Consider the following 19238-nt stretch of genomic DNA (forward strand, 5'->3'; position numbering starts at 1 on the left):
ACATTTATGATGGCATTTAGGGCTCATCTAGATAATTCAGGTGATCTCCTCATGGCAAGTTCCTTAACTTAATCACATCTGCAAAGTCCTTTTTTTGGCCAAATAATATAGCCAAATATGCCAAATTATGGCCAAATACTATATCTTTTAGGGAGTCATTATTCAACCTACACAATCCACTCTGTGGTTCCCAAACATTGATGTTCATCCCACCTACAAAGTACATTCACCCTATCCCAGCACCCTCAAAAGTGTCAACTCATTACAGCATCGACTCAAGTTCAAAATCTTAGCTAAATATCATCAGCTCAGAAGTCTCAAATCTTATCATGTAAATCAGGTTTCAGTGAGACTCTATGGCAACCCAGGGGACAATTCCCCTTCATTTGTGGACCTTGTGAAACAAGAAAATGAGTTATCTATTCCCAAAATGTAAGCATGGGACAGGCATCAGATAACAGTTATAGACATTCTCATTCTAAAAGGGAGAAAAATTGAAGGAATTAAGAAGTCATAGTTACCAAGCCACTTTGAAACCCAGCAGGGGAGATTCCATTAGGGTTCAAGGCCTTGAAATAATCCTCAGTAGTTCATGAATTGACACTATGGGCCCAAAACTCCATCCCTTTTATTGAAGGGTAGCTCAGGTTTGAAGCTTAGTAGTTTTATTGCCTGCAGAATTTTTGGAATCTGGAAGCCTTCCTTCATTTCATTCCATCTCTGTCTCTCAGTATAAGCTGGCAATGTTTCTGCTGGCATAACATTCTTTGAAAACCTTGTGGATCTCCTGTATATGTCACAGGGATTCACACTATCAGGCAGGAGGGCCACAGGCTTTTCCTCGTTAATCTCATCTCTACTCCTGGCTTCTGCTGTGAAGATTGAGAGGATCCATGAATTACATGCCTAATCTCTTCGGTAGTAGCAAAAAGTTACCCAGCCATACCTTTGTTCTCTCCAGAGCATGCTTTCCTAAAAGCAAATGTCCTAATTTTAGTAGCTTTGGCAACCTGGATAGGCTAAGAATTTCCCATATTATCAACTCCTGATTCTTTCTTTTTCTTTCTTCTTTTGTTTTCCTTTTTTTTTTTTTTTTTTTTTTTTTTTTTTGAGACGGAGTCTCACTCTGTCACCCAGGCTGGAGTGCAGTGGTGCAATCTTGGCTCACTGCAATCTCTGCCTCCGGGGTTCACGCAATTCTCAGCCTCCAGAGCAACTGGAATTACAGGTGCGTGCCACCACACCCGGCTGATTTTTATATCTTTATTAGAGATGGGGTTTTGCCATGATGGCCAGGCTGGTCTTGAACTCCTGACCTCAAGTGATTCTCCTTCCTTGGCCACCCAAAGTGTCAGGATTACAGGCGGGAGCCACCGCGCCTGGCCCTGATTCATTTTTGCTTAGCAGTTCTTCTCTCAGTTTATCACTTTCCTCTCATCACATTTTACCATAAGCAGCAAGAAAAAACCAGGCTGCACTTCAACACTTTGCTTGGAAATCCCCTTAGCTAAATAAGCAAGTTCACTGCTTATAAGTCTGCTTTCAGCATAACTGTAGGACACAATTAACTTAATTGCTAAGTTTTCTGTCACTTTATAATGAAGATCACCTTTCCTATAGTTTCCAATAAGATTTTCCTTCTTAGCCCTCACCAGCAGCACTTTTAATGGTCATATTTATACTAACATGCTTATGATGATACATGTCTTCTCTAAGATGATATAGACTTTCTCTACCATCTTCTTTACTTCTTCTGAGTCCTCACCAGCAGTGCTTTCAACATCCATATTTCTACCAACAGGGTGTTTTGGGTAATCTAGGAGTTTTCTATAATGTTTCTCAACATTCTTCCAGCCTCTACCTATTATCTAATTACTCTATTCCAAAGCCACTTCCACATTTTTGGGTATTTTTTACAGCAACACCCCACTTTCGCTACCAAACGTTTCCTATTGCTAGTGTAACAAATTACCACAAACTTGGTGACTTAAAACAACAGAAATTTATTTGTTCACAATTCTAGAGGCCAGAAATCTAAAATCAGTATGGCTGGGCCAAGATCAAGGTGTTGGCAAGGCCGTACTCTCTTCATTCCTTGGCTCTTCCAGCTGCTGGTGGCCGCTGGCATTCCTTGGCTTGTGACCACAGCACTCGAATCTATGCCTCTGTATTCATATTTTCTTCTCCTATTTGTGTCATCTTCCTCTGCCTCCCTCTTATAACGACACCTGTGATTGCATTTAGGGCCTATGTTAATAATCTAGAATAATCTCTCCATCTCAAAATCTTCAACTTAATCACACCCCAAAAGTCCTTTTATCATATGGTAACATACACAGGTTCCAGAGATTTCTCTTGGGGAGTCATTATTCGGCCTACCTCAATAAGGGAAGAGACTGTCTAAATAAAAGTGGGGAAACAGAGCCAAGAATCTCAGAAACAAGCTTCCATAATTTTTAGCACTATGCAAAAACAACAGAAGAGGGAGCTCTGACATTTGAAAAGCTACCCTGAACCCCCACCTCCTTCTGAAAGTTCAGGAAAACTAATTTGATATAAAGAAGAATATACAGAGGACAAATCCCATACAATATTGCTGTAAGAATAAAAAAATAAGGGGTAGAATACCATTCTTGGACACAATGAAAGAATGCCGAAAACACATGCTCACAGAATGGATCAAAATTATAGCCAACTATTTTGAACAAGCTAAACAACATTAAGAAAATGATGCAAGACAATGAAAGAATAACATAAATAAGAACTAGAAAAACTCAATTTATGATAGATCTCAGAAAATATTTGGAAATAAAAGAAAAAATCTTTCAGAATAGAAAATTAAACTGCAAGGAACACAGAGCAAATAAACATAACACATGATGGCTTAAAAGAAATAGAAGGTGGAAAGGATGAACATATTTTTTAAAAAGCAAAAGAATAGTATTTGAGGACAAATGGCAAATATCAAAGTTATAAAAAGAAGATCCAATTCATATACCCTAGGAGTCCTTGAAGAAAACAAGGGCAAAAGGATGAAAACAAATACTAAAAACTATAATTCAAGAAAACTTCCTGGAATTAAAAAAGAATTGAAACTACATATTGAAAGAGCACATCAGACTTCCTTTTCCTTCTGGCCAAGATAGAGTTACAGGAACCAGATTTACTCTTCCACTTGAAACAACTACAAAAATGATAAAATATATGAAACAATGGGGCCGGCCGTGGTGGCGCATGCCTGTAATCCCAGCACTTCGGGAGGCCAAGGCGGGCAGATCACTTGAGGCCAAAAGTTTGAGACCATCCTGGCACATAGCAAAACACCATCTCTGCTAAAAATACAAAAAATAGCCGGGCAAGGTGGTACACACCTGTAGTCCCAGCTACTCGGGAGGCTGAGGCATAAGAACTCCTTGAACCCAGGAAGCGGAGGTTGCAGTGAGCCGAGGTTGCAGTGAGCCGAGATTGCACCACTGCATTCCAGCCTGGGTGACAGAGTGAGAGCCTGTCTCGAAAAAAGGAATTAAAAAAAAAAAAAGAAAAGAATGCAGGTCTGAAAAATATCTCAAGCACCAATCTTAGGTTTTACAATAGTGATGTTATCAAAAGGAGCAATTGTGGAGGTTAGGAATTTTGTGACCTCCGGCCACATGACTTCTAAACCAGAATTTCTACTCTTGTGGCTAATTTGTTGGTTTTACAAAGGCTGTTTGGTCCCCAGGCAAAAAGGGGGTTTGTTTTGGGAAAGGGCTGTTACCATCTTTGTTTCAAAGTTGAACTATAAACTAAGGCTGGGCACAGTGGCTCATGTCTGTAATCCCAGCACTTTAGGGGTCGAGGTGGGTGGATCACTTGAGGTCAGGGGTTTGAGACCAGCCTGGCCAACATGATGAAACCCCGTCTCTACCAAAAAATTAAAAAATTAGACAGGCATGTTGGCACACGCCTGTAATCCCAACCACTCAGGAAGCTGAGGCAGGAGAATTGCTTGAACCCGGGAGGCAGAGGTTGCAGTGAGCCAAGATTGTACCATTGCACTCCAGCCTGGGTGACAGAGTGAGACCCTGTCTCAAAAAAAAAAAAAAATTAATATATATATACACTAAATTTTTCCTATAGTTAGCTTGGCCTATGCCCGGGAATGAACAAGGGCAGTTTGGAGGTTAAGGGCAAGATGGGGTCGGTTAGCTCAGATCTCTTTCACTGTCATATTTTTTTCAGTTATAATTTTTGCAAGGGCATTTCAGTATTGTTATTCAGAGACTGGTTAACGTGGGTGCCTAGAAAGGGATTAACAGAGCAGGCCTGAGACTGTTATGCTGAGAAAAGCTTGTTCTCAAGGTTTGCCCTTGGCTGGTGTCTGGGAACTTGGATTTCTGGAGGGTTCCCACTTTTCCCTAACTGATAAGGGTGTCTCACTGTGTCTACGTTGTGCTGACAATCTGGTTTATGCTGGCCATCTGCCTCTCTTCTAGGAGTCTGGAATATTAGTGCGTGCTAGGCAGAGGGCACCTAGTGCCTAACTCCCAATAAAAACCTTTGACACTGAGTCTCTAATGGGCTTTTCTGGGCAGAAACATGACACGCTTGTTGCTGCATTTTTGATGCTGGGGGAGGGTGCACTATGTGGGAGCCTTCCTGGGAGGGAAGAAGAGGGAAGATGGATGAGTAAATCATGCCTGGGTCACTATGGAGTTACCTATGGTGTAAAACAGCAGCTGACCTGCTTGCTATCTCTTATGAGAGGTAGAAGTTACCCGTGGCATTTGAAAATGATAAATCCAGTCATAGACAGTTGGCTTGCTGGATCTCCTGGCTGCTTTTGGCCATGCTGGCTAAAGATAGGAAGAAGTGCAGCTCAAAGGATGACTTTGGTTTTTGTTCTCTCCTCCAATTGGGAGGAAAAAGGGCCCAGACATTCCCCCCAGTGAGCTTCCTATGCACTAAAGACAGGCCAGGTGCAGTGGCTCACGCCTGTAATCCCAGCACTTTGGGAGGCCAAGGTGGGCAGATTGCTTGAGGTCACAAGTTTGAGAACAGCCTGGCCACCATGGTGAAATCCTGTCTCTACTAAAAATACAAAAATTAGCCGGGTGTGGTGGCATGCACCTGCAGTCTCAGCTACTCAGGAGGCTGAGGCAGGATAATGGCTTGAACCGAGGAGGTGGAGGTTGCAGTGAGCTGAGATCATGCCACTGCACTCCAGCCTGGGCGACAGAGCGAGATTCTGTCTCAACAAAACAAAACAAAACAAAACAAAACAAAACAAAACAAAACCAACGAAAAGACAATAACAGTTAATTGGAGTTGCTCTCTCTCCTAGGTGGGAGGGGGAAGGGTCAGAAAATTTCTGAAGGCAGGTTTTGGGTGAATCAAGAACGTTCAAAGTTTGCATTGCTCGCTCCTCCAAGTGGAAGAAAAATAGTTAAATCAGTTCCCAGGGCTGGAGCAAGGCTTTAGATAAACCAGAGGTGGAGAAAGAGTAAAAAACATTCCCCCCAAACAAGAAAACCACTCTAGCCTTTTCTACAGCTTAGTAGCTGCCTCTGCAACTCAAAGCCCTCCTTACACTGCAACCTTCATCTCCAGCAGCTGTAATGTTAACCTTGTAAATGCGGTGTGGAAACTAAAGCAACTCCATCTTGGATGCTAATCCACGATGTTGACTTCAGATTAACTCCAGTGCCAGGAAGGCCTCTCAGATTTCCAGTCTAGCTATCTTTCCTTGTGTAAGAGCACATACTTACCACAAATCCTGCCCTTAGGTCTAAATAACCTCAATGTGATCGTTCTTCAATTCTACACATCACTTCTGAATCACCCCTTCCCTATGGTATATAAGCCCTGAGTCTGGGGTTGATGGCACAGGGATCCACTTTCTCCTCTTACCGCTACCTGAGACGCAGACATGGCTTCTGTTTGCAAGTCCCTATTAAATGTTTCCTTCTAAGAAATTGGATATGTCAGCCTCTTTCTTTGGCCTCTCAGCTTCCTGGGACTTTGGGGGTAGTTTTGTATAGACCTGCTCACTGTGGAACATGCTGATTTTACAGCTAGGGGTTTGGGGAAAACAGAGGGGAATGTTTATTCAAAGGCTTTGTATTTTGTGGCTGTCGCATCTGGGTGTATGATAAAATTTAATGTAAAATGTTATCTGCTTTATTTCATCAACATTAGACAAATCATCCTAATAGGGAAAGCTGCAAAGAAAAAAAAACAGTGTTTGTGGAATCAGAGCTCCCTTGCTTTTTGCTGCCTGTGGGTGGATTGCAATTTAAACTCTTTGAGGATTGGAAACAGAACAAGTCTCCATAACCACTGATTTTTGCCCATTGGAGCCTCTGGAAAAAGGGAGAGAACATAAAAAGAGAGGCAATCTCCGGGTAGAAACATGCTTTGGGAGTTTTCAAAAACAGCTTTTAGTTTGCTAATGTGCTCTTGCTGCCATGAACTGCCTGACCCATAGAGGCTAATGGTTTTCAGCCTGCTGTGCATATGTTTGAGTAGGTCTATTTGGCCTCTAAAATGAACAAGATAAAAAGGACTTTTAGAAAAGTCTTGTTTGTCACTTGGGCTTGGTATACAGCTGTCTGGCTCTTCCTTGTATCAGCTTTGCTGCTACTGAAGGAAAGCCAGGGGCTTTTTAAAAATCCCAGATTCACAGATCCTAATTGCCTGTGCCTGCCTCTGAGCTGAAACTTGATGCTGTCTTCTGCAGCTGTTTCGGCCTTGCGGTGAGCTGTGCGGAACTGAAGGCTCATCTCAAAGAACAGGACTCAGATTCTGAATTGTTGCCCATTTAAGACAGCCTCTGTGGGGCTATAAATGACGAAAATACAGATGCTGACCGGATTGTCTGGGTCACATAAAAATGCCAACAGGAAAGGGTGTGGTCTCATGAAACCATCTAAAATTGGGTGGCTGAATGGCTCTAGATTTCTGATACAGAGACTAATTGCATTCTTAACTTGTGATTTCTCTTGAAAGCTTCAGGTTGGGGACGGACACATAACAGAGAATGTGACCCCTTCACCTACTTCACACAGATTGGACTGGTGCCCCTCTTTGAGATGTCTCATTGCTGTTGACTTGTTGCATCATTCAGCTTTCAGGATTAGATGCAGTTTGTGCCAATGGACTGATAGCCTGACTCTATTTCCCTCACCTTTCTTTTCTTTCTTTCTTTCTTTCTTTCTTTCTTTCTTTCTTTCTTTCTTTCTTTTTTTCTTTTTTTTTTTTTTTTTTAGACAGGGTCTCACTCTGTCACCCAGGATGGAGTGCAGTGGCACGATCATGGCTCACTGCAGCCTTGATCTCCCGGGCTCAGGTGATCCTCCTACCTCAGCCTCCCAAGTAGCTGGGACTACAGGCTCCTGCCACCCAGATAATTTTTTTTTTAAGAGATGGGGTTTCGCCATGTTTCCCAGGCTGGTCTCGAACTCCTGAGCTCAAGCAGTCCGCCCACCTTGGCCTCCCAAAGTGCTGGAATTACAGGCGTGAGCCACTGAGCCCAGCCTACTACCCTCACCTTTCTCCTAGTGCACACATCTTAGTGAAACAGTTTGATTATTCAGTGCAGCTGTCCCCAGCAAGAGATTGATTTTTTTTTCCCTAGGCTGCTCACTGGGTAAATGATGAGGAGGAAAGGAATGGGAAGTTAATGGAAACCCATTTTGAAAAAATTGGAAAGTTCCGGATTCTTCCTGACCTATTTCTGGACATGATATGTCTTTCTGGTTAAATTGCATAAAAATATTTTCCTGGAAAAATGTTTCTTTCCTTCTAGCATATAACCCTTCCAGACAAATGGTCTGGATGAGAGTAAAATGATTGGGAAATATGAAGTCATATTTCTTCAGTAAGTCATGAAGTCTTACTGAATGAGACTCACTGATTTTGTAACAATGGAGAAAAAAGAAAAGCCTATGGAGGTGCCGGGGTGTAGAGAGTGTATTAATGATCTTTGTTTTTTCAGAACTGCTCCTGGCAGCTTTCCCCTCTTTCTGTAGAAGAATGCCCCATGTTTCATTTCCAAGCTGCTGTGAGTGCTTTGAATGTAAATTGGCTGCTGAGCCTCTGATCACCCCTGACAGCACTGACTATGACACAGCAGGGGTGGCACCTGCTCCTGTGATTTGCCGGCAGAACACCTGCAGATGCCATCCACACACATGAGAGGGATGAACTGATGTCACGGATAAGCAAAACTGAGGGAACCTGACTACCTCTGGGCAGTCCCGCTGAAACCAAGGACCAAACTGAATTATTTGGATTAGACTCGGTGGGAGTTTTCCCCGTGGGAGGCCACACTGGGAACCCTGTTAACCTGCCCTGTCTGACTAATGTATGCCCTGCTCGGGGTACCTGAACAATTGTAAACTCTTGGTTTCCAGGGCTATCACGTGTTCCCTCTGGGATTGTACTTGCATGTGCACCCTAACTGTCCTGACACTGCCTCAGCCTGGAAGACATTGACATCAGCTTCAGTTTACTGGCCAGAGTGGTGCTGAGCCTGAATTGATGTGGCAGGCTGGGCAAAAAGGGGATAATACAGAAATTTAAGGAAGAAGCCCCCTGACTTTCAAAGATGAACTTTTCTGGTTAATGGATTTTTTTTTCTTTGTGTGTGTGTGTGTGTGTGTGTGTGTGTGTGTGTGTGTGTATTTTGAGACAGTGTCTCACTCTGTTGCCCAGGCTTTAGTGTAGTGGTGTGATCAGCTCACTGCAGCCTCAAACTCCTGGGCTCAAGTGATCCTCCCACCTCAGCCTCCCAAGTAGCTGGGACTACAGGCGCATGCCACCATGCCCAGCTGAATTAAAAAAAAATTTTTTTTTGTAGAGATGGGGGGTGTATTAGGGTTCCCTTAGAGGGACATAACTAATAGGATATATGTGTATATATATAGGCTGTCTGCAAGCTGAGGAACAAGGAAAGCCAGTCTCAATCCCAAAACTGAAGAACTTAGAGTCCGATGTTCAAGGGAAGGAAGCATCCAGCACAGGAGAAAGATGGAGGCTAGGAGGCTAGGCCCATGTTGTTCTTTTCTCATTTTTCTGCCCGCTTCATATTCGATGGAAGCTGATTAGATTGTGCCCACCAGATTAAGGGTGGATCTGCCTTTTCCAGCCCACTGACTCAAATGTTAATCTGTTTTGGGCAACACCCACACAGACACACCCAGGATTAATATTTTGTATCCCTCAATCCAATCAAGTTGACAACTCAGTATTAACCATCACAGGGGGTCTCACTATGTTGGCCAGGCTGCCCTCCAACCCCTGGGTTCAAGCAATCCTGCTGCCTTGGCCTCCCAGAGTGCTGGGATTACAGGTGTGAGCCACTGTGCCCCACCTGGAATTTGTTTTAACTGGCTAAATCCAGGACCCCTGGAGGGTATAAGTGAGGTTAAATCTGCAGGGTGGTCTCACCTGGCTGCATGGGGTCCTACTGATAATTTTGCTGTGAAGATGCCAGGACCAAGGGGTGGACTAAGCAGAAGGGGGTTAACATAGCAGTCCTGTAACTATTGTCCTTTGAAAGTCCTGCTTACAAGCTTGGCCCTTGGCTGGCAATTAGGAACTTGGATTTCGGGAGTATTCCCAGAATTCCTTAACTGATAAGGATGGCTTACTCTTCCCAACCTGTTTGTGCAAACAGTGGTTTCTGCTGATCACCGGCTTTCATTCTGGGAGCCTGGAATTTTGGTAAGCACTAGGTAGAGGGTGCCTAGTGACCAGCCCCCAGTGAAACCTTTGGGCACCAAACCTCTAATGGGCTTCCCTGGGGAGAAGCATTATACATGTGTTCCTGGATTTTTGTTGCTAGAAGGACAGCTCTGTGCAAGCCTCCTGCGAGGGGGAGACAGCATGAGGAGGCCTGTGTACAGCATCCTTCACATTCTGCCTGTGTCTTTTTACCTTGACGATTCTGTCACATATCCTTTTGCTGTCATAAACCTTAGCTGTGAGGACAATTATATGCTATGCTCAGTGCTATGAGTTCTTCCAGCAAGTCACTGAACATGGGGGGTGGCCCTGGGACCCCCCAACAGAATGGGATAAATTAATAATTATGAGATATTCCAATTCTATCATCCCTGCGTCTATGAGAACCTGTAATTTTGTTGTGAGAGAAATGGAATGCAGGCCGGGTGTGGTGGCTCATGCCTATAATCCCTGTACTTTGGGAGGCTGAGGCGGGTGGATCACCTGAGGTCAGGAGTTTGAGACCAGCCTGGCCAACATGATGAAACCCCGTCTCAACTAAAAATACAAAAAATTAGTCAGGCATGGTGGCGGCTGCCTGTAATCCCAGCTACTCGGGAGGCTGAGGCAGGAGAATCGCTTGAGCCCGGGAGGCGGAGGTTACAGTTAGCTGAGATCACGCCACTGCACTCCAGCCTGAGTGACAGAGCGAGACTCCGTCTCAAAAAAAAAAAAAAAAAAAAAAAGAAATGGAATACAGATACAATATAAAAGAGAGCTTAAGGAAAAAAAAAACCTATATTCCTGAATTTGAGTTGGACATATCAATATGATCTCACAACAGTTTATTTTTAAAAAGAATGTGCACACACACACACACACACACACACACACACACACTTCATAGCTCTGTCTGCTGAAGAGGCCTACAAACAACGACCAACACAGCAGTAATGAGCAACCCTGGCACCCAAATTGTGGCCTTGACATTCCATTTCCCATGAAAAGGAATCAGTACCAGATCTGGTACTGGAAATGTACAAGATAATCCTGGAATCTTGTCATAAGAGCCGATAGTGAGAAAGCTGTTAATATCTATTAGGGTCAAGTCAAAAGGGTGTGGGAGCCAACTCCAGGAGTCTCTCACGGGCCGCAGATGAGATAATTTGAGCTTCAAGAAGTTAATAAATGCAATTTGACTGAAACCTGCCTAATATGCTTAAATTCATGAGTTCACAATGATCTTTTTAAAAATAGTTACCTTTGGGGAATGATAGGGAACCAAATCATTTTCTTGAAAACTGATAAAGGGACAAAGAATAAAGCATTTATGTTGCCTTTCCTAAATAAACTGTAGTATCAGTAACCAAATGATAAATGAACAAAAGCATCTCTATAAAAGTGTTGCAATTAATAAATGAAAAAGAATTGTTGGTTGGAATTTGTATATCACCATTTTGCAACCACCAATCAATTTCATGGATCTTCTAGGCATTGAAGCATCTCAGCTGCTAACATCACAAGAGTGACAACCAGACATTCTGTGCCCCCTGATGAGAGCACATGTAGTCTTGCTAAAGGAATTAAGCTTGAACCAGATCTGGCCCCTGCATTGACCTGCCAATTTGCAGGAAACATGGAGTACAGAGAAATATATTGCCATGCACATGCAATCACCCAAATCCAGGCTGTGAAAAATCCAGATTTGAGTGAGGACCTTGAAAGTAAAAGAGACTTAAAAAACAAATCATTTTTTTTTCATGAGCAAGACTAACATGTAATGTTTGAGGATGTACACTTGGGTGATATAAAGAAATGCAAGGAAGTAATTACTATAAAGTCAAGGTCAAGGTTGGTGAGTTGAAATTGGATGGGGCTTCTGGGTTGGCTGGCAGAGTTCTTTCTTGAATTTGGTGGTTGTTACTAAGGTGTTTGCCTTGTAAGAACCAGTTAAGCTACACTTTGGTGTTACACGGCTTTATGTAGCTATATTTTATTTTACTTTAATAAAAATAAAGTCCTGAGCTATTACTGTTTTTTTCCTTATGGTAGAAAATATTTATTTCAAATGCCCAGTCATGGCTAGGCGCAGTGGCTCACGCCTGTAATCCCAGCACTTTGGGAGGCCGAGGCGGGAGGATCATTTGAGGTCAGGAGTCTGAGACCAGCCTGGCCAACATGGTGAAACCCTGTCTCTACTAAAAATACAAAAATTAGCTGGGTGTGGTGGTGGGTGCCTGTAATCCCAGCTACTCAGGAGACTGAGGCAGGAGAATTGCTTGAGCCCAGGAGGCAGAGGTTGCAGTGAGCAGAGATCGCACCATTGTGCTCCAGCCTGGGCAACAAAGCAAGACTCCGTCTCCAAAAACAACAACAACAAACCCAAATGCCCAGTCATCATCCATTTAGATTCAATTTTATGCATATGTTGCAGGAGTCACTGCTTGATATTATTTTATTACTCGTTTGAGATTTCTCTTCTAAAGTGAGAGAACTTTGTTGATTATTTGCCTTAAGTCTAGAACATTACTGGTAACTTCTCTATACAGTATTCTTTGTCGAAAAATATCTTTGCATTGACTGATAAGAATTTTCATACTTATTTTTAAGATGAAGTGAAAATGAAGCAACTTTTTAATATTCTCATGCCTAAAAAGAGGAAGAGCTGGAATTGAAACTGTCATTAATTCTACCCAGATTGTCATTGGTATTTCCAGTATTCCATCATGACTAAAATCTAGAGTTAATTCTCACTGAACTTTGTATACTGTATTGTATGTAGCATAGTGGCCTATATCAAATTTACCAGGCAAATATATCTTTTAAACATTTTAATTGTGGTAAAATATACACAACATTAAATTTACCATCTTAACCATTTTTAAGTATACAGTTAAGTAGTATGAAGTATGTTCACATTGTTGTGCAACCAATCTCCAGAACTTTTTCATCTTGCAAAACTGAAACTCTGTACCCCTTAAACAACAACTATTCATTTCCCCTCCCCAGCCCCTGGTAACCACCATTCTACTTTCTGTCTCCATAAATTTGACTACTTTAGGTACTTCGTATAAGCAGAATCATACAGTAGTTGTCTTTCTGTGACTGGCTTATTTCTTTTAGCATAATGTCCTAAAGGTTCATCCCAGTACAACTTTTATTTTATTTATTTATTTATTTTATTTTTTTGAGATGCAGTCTCACTCTGTCACCCAGGCTGGAGTGCAATGGCAGGATCTTGGCTCACTGAAACCTCTGCCTCCCCAGTTCAAGCCATTCTGCCTCAGCCTCCCAAGTAGTTAGGATCACAGGCATCCGCCACCACACCCGGCTAATTTTTGTATTTTTAGTAGAGATGGGGTTTCACCATGTTGGCCAGGCTAGTCTCGAACTCTTGACCTCAAGTGATCCGCCCGCCTTGGCCTCCCAAAGTGCTGGGATTACAGGCGTGAGCCACCTCGCCTGGCCACAATTTTCTTTTTTTTAGAGATAGTCTCACTATGTTTCCCAGGCTAGTCTCCAACTCCTGGCCTCAAGTGATCCTCCTGCCTCAGTCTCTCAAGTCATTGGAATTACAGGCATGAGCCACCATGCCTGGCCACAAACAATTTTATGGGGCCACTTTACCAAGTTCTTCCCTTCTGGGAGGGAAAGAGGCCCCACCTTCCTGGAACCACAGCTCCACAGATGGCAGAGGAGGGTTCCCCTCCCTCAGAGTTGTGGCTCCTATGAGGTGCCATTTGGCCACTGCCAAGGCTACCATGAGATTGCTTAGGGGCCTGGACACAGGAGACAAGAGAAAATAAAATAGTGGAGGATTTTCATACTGTCTCTGAGCTCTAGGAGTTCTCTTTCCTATTTCTCAAGCCAGAGCTAGAGGGCTTCCCTAGATCTCTGTCTGCACCATAGTGCTCACTTCTGGGCTTCAATCTGCCTTAAGTTCAGGCTGGAGAATACTGGAGGGGGAAAAAAGGATGAATACTACATTTTAGTGCTACTGCAAATGTTGATCTTCTTCCTCAGTCCTCCTGCTATTTACTTTTCTGAGCCCTGAAATAGCTGGTTCTGGTATTTTGTCCAGATTCTACAGCTGAATGAAATCTGTGAAGTCTGTCTCCCCTGCAAGGTACAGCTGCTGATGTCTCTGCTCAGTGATTTTTTCTTGTTTTGTATCCTTAAGGCTGGCTTTCTAGGGGTCATCCCCTGTCTGTACAGCTTGGTGTTCAACCGAAGGTTGATCAGAGGTTGTGTTCAATCATGTCAAGCCATCTTTGACTTGCTTTGCCCCGGGGAGCACATTCAAACCTCAGGCCTTTTACAAGCCAGACCTGGCTTTTACTTTCTGACAGGCTTGCTCATGTCTCCTCTGTGCATCCACAGGCTCAGAAGGTCACGGATATGGGGGTGGTTTGGGTCTGCTGTGATCCCTGCTACCCATGTGCATGGTCTCCAGTCTGCCCAAGATAGAGGGAGACTTTGTCAAGTCCTCCATGGATTGCTTACATTCCAGATCTCCATGTTCAATTCCCAGCAGATCAGTCCATTGCTTGCCCCAAAAAGGCTGTAAGGTGAATCTAAGGGTGCTGCTGGCCCTCTCCATTTGCTTGCTGTGGAGACAGTTACTTAAAATGACCATGCTCCAAATGCGGTTAGCCATCTCCAGCAGCGGCAGTGAAGCCTGTTGTTTTCATGGCCTCCCTTGTCCTGGTTGAACCATGGCACTGACAAAGCTGGAGGAAGGATAGGAGCCACACTGGGAAAAAGCCCACCATAGACTCACTGTTCTGAGCCAAAGTTGAGTCGTTTCGATGAATAAAACACCTCTCAGCTTGTACTTATGTGTTCAGCTGAATTCCAGAATACTGAAAGGGTTGCTTTTGACACTTTTCCCCAGCTTTTAGAGTTGCTTTCCAGGGAGAGGACTTGCCAACCTCCTTACTCCCTCATGCCAGGAGCACAATCTGCCTTATGTTTTTTCTTTTCTTTTTATTAAAAAAAATTTGGTTCGGGGCGGGGTCTCACTATGTTGCCCAGGCTGGACTGGGCTGAAGCGATCCACCTGCCTCAGCCTCCTAAAGTGCTGGGATTACAGGCATGAGCCACCGCGCCTGGCCATGCCTTCTATTTTTTTTTTTTTTCAATGAAAAGAGTATATTCTTTTATTGGTTTTTGTTCATACATGTTAAGTTTCAACTTTCAATAATAAAATTCAATAAATTTGATTCCTTAATCATAAAAACTGGCTTTACACATTATTTACATGTTGTCAAAGTCCATACAAAACATCACAAGGATTTGATTGACTCTATGCATGGTACCATCACACAGGAGGAGGGAGCTAATCCAGTAACATACATTCAAAGATTAAATTGCAGATATGCACAGTGTATTTGGCACTGTTCATTAATATTATAACACCTTCCTCTCAAAGACAGGCATTCTTAAGCGTTAGTCACGATATACCAGAATTTGCTATTCACATTAAAACCACCTTTTAAACTTTATAACAGTAACCGATTATTATAGTTTTAAGAAACAAAACACAATGAGAACTGGGAATGGAATTCAAATCCTCCAACTTCTTGCTATGCTCCAAGCTGCCATCCATAAAACAGGTTTAATTCGGTAATTTTTCCATTGTGGGGAGTGTCAACAAGAAACAATTTAAAGACAGTATTTTCCAATACAAATAAAGACACATACTTTTGTTTAAAATTACCAGTTCTTCTTGGGAGTGCAAAGGGAGCCTTGATGATGTACAACTTGTGATGCTTGTGGCAGGAATTATAGAACAACCAATGCCATTCAAGTTGTGGAGATTGTACTAGCAGGTGAACTCATAAAGAGAAGGTTCTGGAATGACTACATCTGAAATCAGAATCCTAGTAGTTTGTAGTTTGCCTCTTCCTAGAACTTCAATAGACTCAAATCATAGGCTACAGATGTACTTTCAAGTATATACTTATGAATGGAAGGAGAAAATAAAAGCATGAAAATGCAAATAATAAACCTTTACTGGCTTGGGCTATATTCCAGTAGGTAATTTATTTGACTAACTTAACTTTAACAACGATTAAATCCCTTCATTTTAATCAGGTCCATTAAATTTCATTCATTAAAGCTATACATACTCCAGAATGTTTATAAGACATTTATACCTATCATGTTTACAAAAGGCATAAATTCAGTCTTCAGCGGCACTACAAATGCCTCAATATAATATAATCACAGTATAAGGAATCAGAAATTCTCTGATTAGATATGCTGTAGCTTCACACAAAACTCTCAGTAATAAATTAAAACAAAAAAAAAAAGTCGTACAATGTATAATGGATTATGCAGTGCAAAGTAATGTCACTGGACCAAAATTTAGTTTAATCATTTTTATTTCAAGTGTATTTAAAAAATCATAAATGGGGTTTCATAATCCAAAGTTGAAACATTTATTCTTCATAGCTTCAGAATTTAACAACCAATTGTAGACCATGCTTTCCAAATCCAGTCTTCTTTGCTATTTTTCAAAACTTCTGAGATCTAGTATTAAACTGCTCCATTCTAAATGTATAGTTTTAGATAAGTATTGTACACTTGTTGATAAGGGTTTTCTGAAAACAGTCTATCAAATATAAAGAATGGTTTCTATCTAAGAATCAGCAGTGAGGGAAGAAATATTAAACACCTATCAAGAAATCAATTATTCATTTTAAAAATAACAGAACCAGTGCTGCTCTCTGTCATAAAAGAGAACATGTAAAATTTATTTTTATAGACTTTGGTAATATTTTATTTCCCCACAGAGGCCTTCAATCCTACTTAAAGATATTTTACACACAGTAACCATCAGGATTTACTGAGTAAAAATCTCAGGTATTAACCATGCCCCTAAAATGTGCTATTCCAAAGAGGAACAGGTTACTTTTGAGGAAAAAAGCTGCCTTGGTAACTTCCCTCAAATGTTTATTTTAAATAAAAATGGTTGATGGAAATATTTTTTAAAAGAACTTTGGGTATAATATGGCATACTGCCCATCAAACAAAAAAGGAAACCAAAACTTTCTTTCCATTTATAATAAGTTTTCCACCTTTACTATCAAGATTACAACTTATTGACCTTTTATGCTTGCTTGGTTTTTTTGACTGCCTAATCCAATGTTTAAATTTTTAAAAGTCTGCATTTCAATGTAGTAGGAGTTATTTTTCAAATAATCTTCAGAACCCAGAATACAGAGCAACTCTCAGAATACCAGAGCAACACTCTCAAGTCATACTTTTGAACCCAGAATACCAGAATACCAGACTTCAGAACCCAGAATACCAGAGCAACACTCTCAAGTCATACTTTTGACTACAATTAAGAGATGAAAATGGACGGATATCTGAAGATAGGTATTCCCTCTGCTCTGAAGGTGAGCAAGATTTTAACATGTGAGCAACACAGAACTCCACTCCTCTGGAGCTCCTTTCAACTCAGAATGCTTCAGTTCAGTAAGTCAATATATTATTCTTAAAAATTAAAGTTTGGTCACTAAGAAGGACTGAACAAAAATTATTCCCCTCCCGCCAAACACAACCAGAACAGTTCTAATCAGGCCCTCTTCTCCCCACAAAAATAGGGAAGTAGCTGGGCTGAAGACTTTAAGTGTGACATTTCAGTTCCTAAAACATCACTGCTATTTGCTCAAAGTTGTAGGTCTATGTATTTCCTTCTCCAATACGTCCCCATTTATAAGTTTATTTCCATGCATACAAACGTGCACATGTGTGCACGTGCACACCCACACACACACACTCACTCTCAAGTAAGACACTTTTTTGTGTTTGTTGATAAATTATGAGGATTATGAACCAGGTGTGTACAGGGTTTCATAGGTGCTTTGTAAACATCAGAGTCACTTGGGTCCTTTCCTCCACAAGCCTCAAATCAAATTACGCAACCAATGACCACTACTTTCCCAGACGCTGTTCACAGGCTGCATATTGACGAAGGGCAGAGAAAAAGTCCTCATAACTGATGTTTAGGTGGGAAGGCAAAGAGACAATCTCAGTCAATCTGATGTGCCAGGGAAGAAAGCCTAATGTGCTGTCCACAGGACCGAACTTCAATACTAAATCAGGATCAGGACAACCATTTGAACTAAGTAAACTGCCTAACGTATCTACATCCAAATCTGTGGGTCTCTTTTGCTTCTGGGCCACTAACTGGCAAAAGTCCTGAGCAGCTCTTACAATATCTGCTTTTCCATCTTCCGGAGACAGCACCTTCACTGCCAAATGGCAATTTAAAACTTGATCGTCTTTGTCATTACTATTTGCAAATTCTGGTGAGTATTTTGAACAATCTAGGCCCAGAAGTTCTTGCTGTTGTTTTAAAATTTCATCCATCAATCTGGAATTATTTCTTTTGAAAATACCTTGGTGGTCGTAGACGCTAATGTAGGAGATGCCCACGGCCATACACCACACCACGAGGCTCGCGATGTCCGAGAAGCTGGGTTCCTGCTCCACCTCGGTGATCACCAGGCCCATATGCACAGGCAGCTTCTCCAAGGAACGACCGTCCGCGCGCCAGCGCATCCGGTGGTGTGCGGCTGCCAGGCACGACCCCCCGCGCGGGTGCCGGTGGTGACGGCGGTTCCTGCCGACTGCCGGGGGCTTGCGGAGCGTGAAGCCGAGCGGCGCTAGGACCGCGGCAGAGGCGGCTCGGCAGCAGCGCCGCCAGATCCAGTTCCAGGTGCCGAACCGAACGCGGAGCCAGGAGGTGAGCGTGCGGTGCAGACAGAGCAGCGCGTGCAGCACCCGCCACACCAGCTCGTACAGCCCCGTCATACTCTTGTGGCCCTCGGACAACCCCTCTCCCTCCCGCCCACTCCCGCAGCGCGACGGCTTTTTATCCGCCCCTGCGGCCGCGCGGGCCATCGCTCCGCGTCCCCCCGCCCCCCGAGCCCGAACCCCTTTCCACTGCCAACATCTCACCTCGCCCCCGCCGCCATCTTCCCATGCCTTCTATTTTATACAAGCAAAAAGAATAGAAGAAAGCAGCTTACCTGCCACCAGCCCCAAACCTCACTTTAAAATCAAGTCAGTCCACATGGCCAAGGATGCTTGTCTTTTCACAGACATCCTCGAAATGAAACATCTGCTGCCTGCTAACAGCATGATGAAGACTCCAAACTTTCCCATCAACCACACGCTCTCCTGGAATACATCACTCCACCGTTATCTTCCTCTATATTCCAGAACTGAATTCTCATGACCTTTAACCTCCAGTCACTTCCCCAAATTGGAATGTGTAGGGCAGCAGTGAACTGCATAACCGGACCTAACATGCTTACGAAAACGTCTCCCACTTTTTCATTTTCAACCTCTCCATTACAAGTATTCCCATCCTTAAGCTTGGATATAGCTCTATTTCATTCATATATCCAATCTGAGATCCTCTTTCATTATTAGGTGAGTTAAATCATTTATATTCAGTGTGAGCTTTTGGCCTTCTCTCTAAAGCAGTGAGTCTTTTTTTTTTTTTTTTTTTTTTT

General features: G+C 42.6%; 1 long non-coding RNA gene and 1 pseudogene across 1 annotated transcript, besides 2 other annotated features; both read right to left on the reverse strand.

Annotated features, from left to right (window-relative positions):
• Positions 1-1983: 1983 nt before the first annotated feature.
• On the reverse strand, positions 1984-18909 carry LOC124905183 (uncharacterized). The gene is made up of 2 exons (XR_007068224.1): positions 18750-18909; positions 1984-2228 (listed from the first exon to the last, which is right to left on the reverse strand). It is a non-coding gene; the product is annotated as an uncharacterized LOC124905183 (long non-coding RNA).
• On the reverse strand, positions 14843-18708 carry NUS1P1 (NUS1 pseudogene 1; annotated as a pseudogene).
• Positions 17818-18319: an enhancer, noted in NCBI's record as "H3K27ac hESC enhancer chrX:47372169-47372670 (GRCh37/hg19 assembly coordinates)". NCBI's record gives its function as "activates a minimal SCP1, AML or CMV promoter by ChIP-STARR-seq in naive H9 embryonic stem cells {active_cell/tissue: H9 hESC(naive)}" and the evidence as "EXISTENCE:reporter gene assay evidence [ECO:0000049][PMID:30033119]".
• Positions 18320-18819: an enhancer, noted in NCBI's record as "H3K27ac hESC enhancer chrX:47372671-47373170 (GRCh37/hg19 assembly coordinates)". NCBI's record gives its function as "activates a minimal SCP1, AML or CMV promoter by ChIP-STARR-seq in naive H9 embryonic stem cells {active_cell/tissue: H9 hESC(naive)}" and the evidence as "EXISTENCE:reporter gene assay evidence [ECO:0000049][PMID:30033119]".

The sequence above is a fragment of the Homo sapiens genome, chromosome X, assembly GCF_000001405.40.
Source record: "Homo sapiens chromosome X, GRCh38.p14 Primary Assembly".
Taxonomy (NCBI): domain Eukaryota; kingdom Metazoa; phylum Chordata; class Mammalia; order Primates; family Hominidae; genus Homo; species Homo sapiens.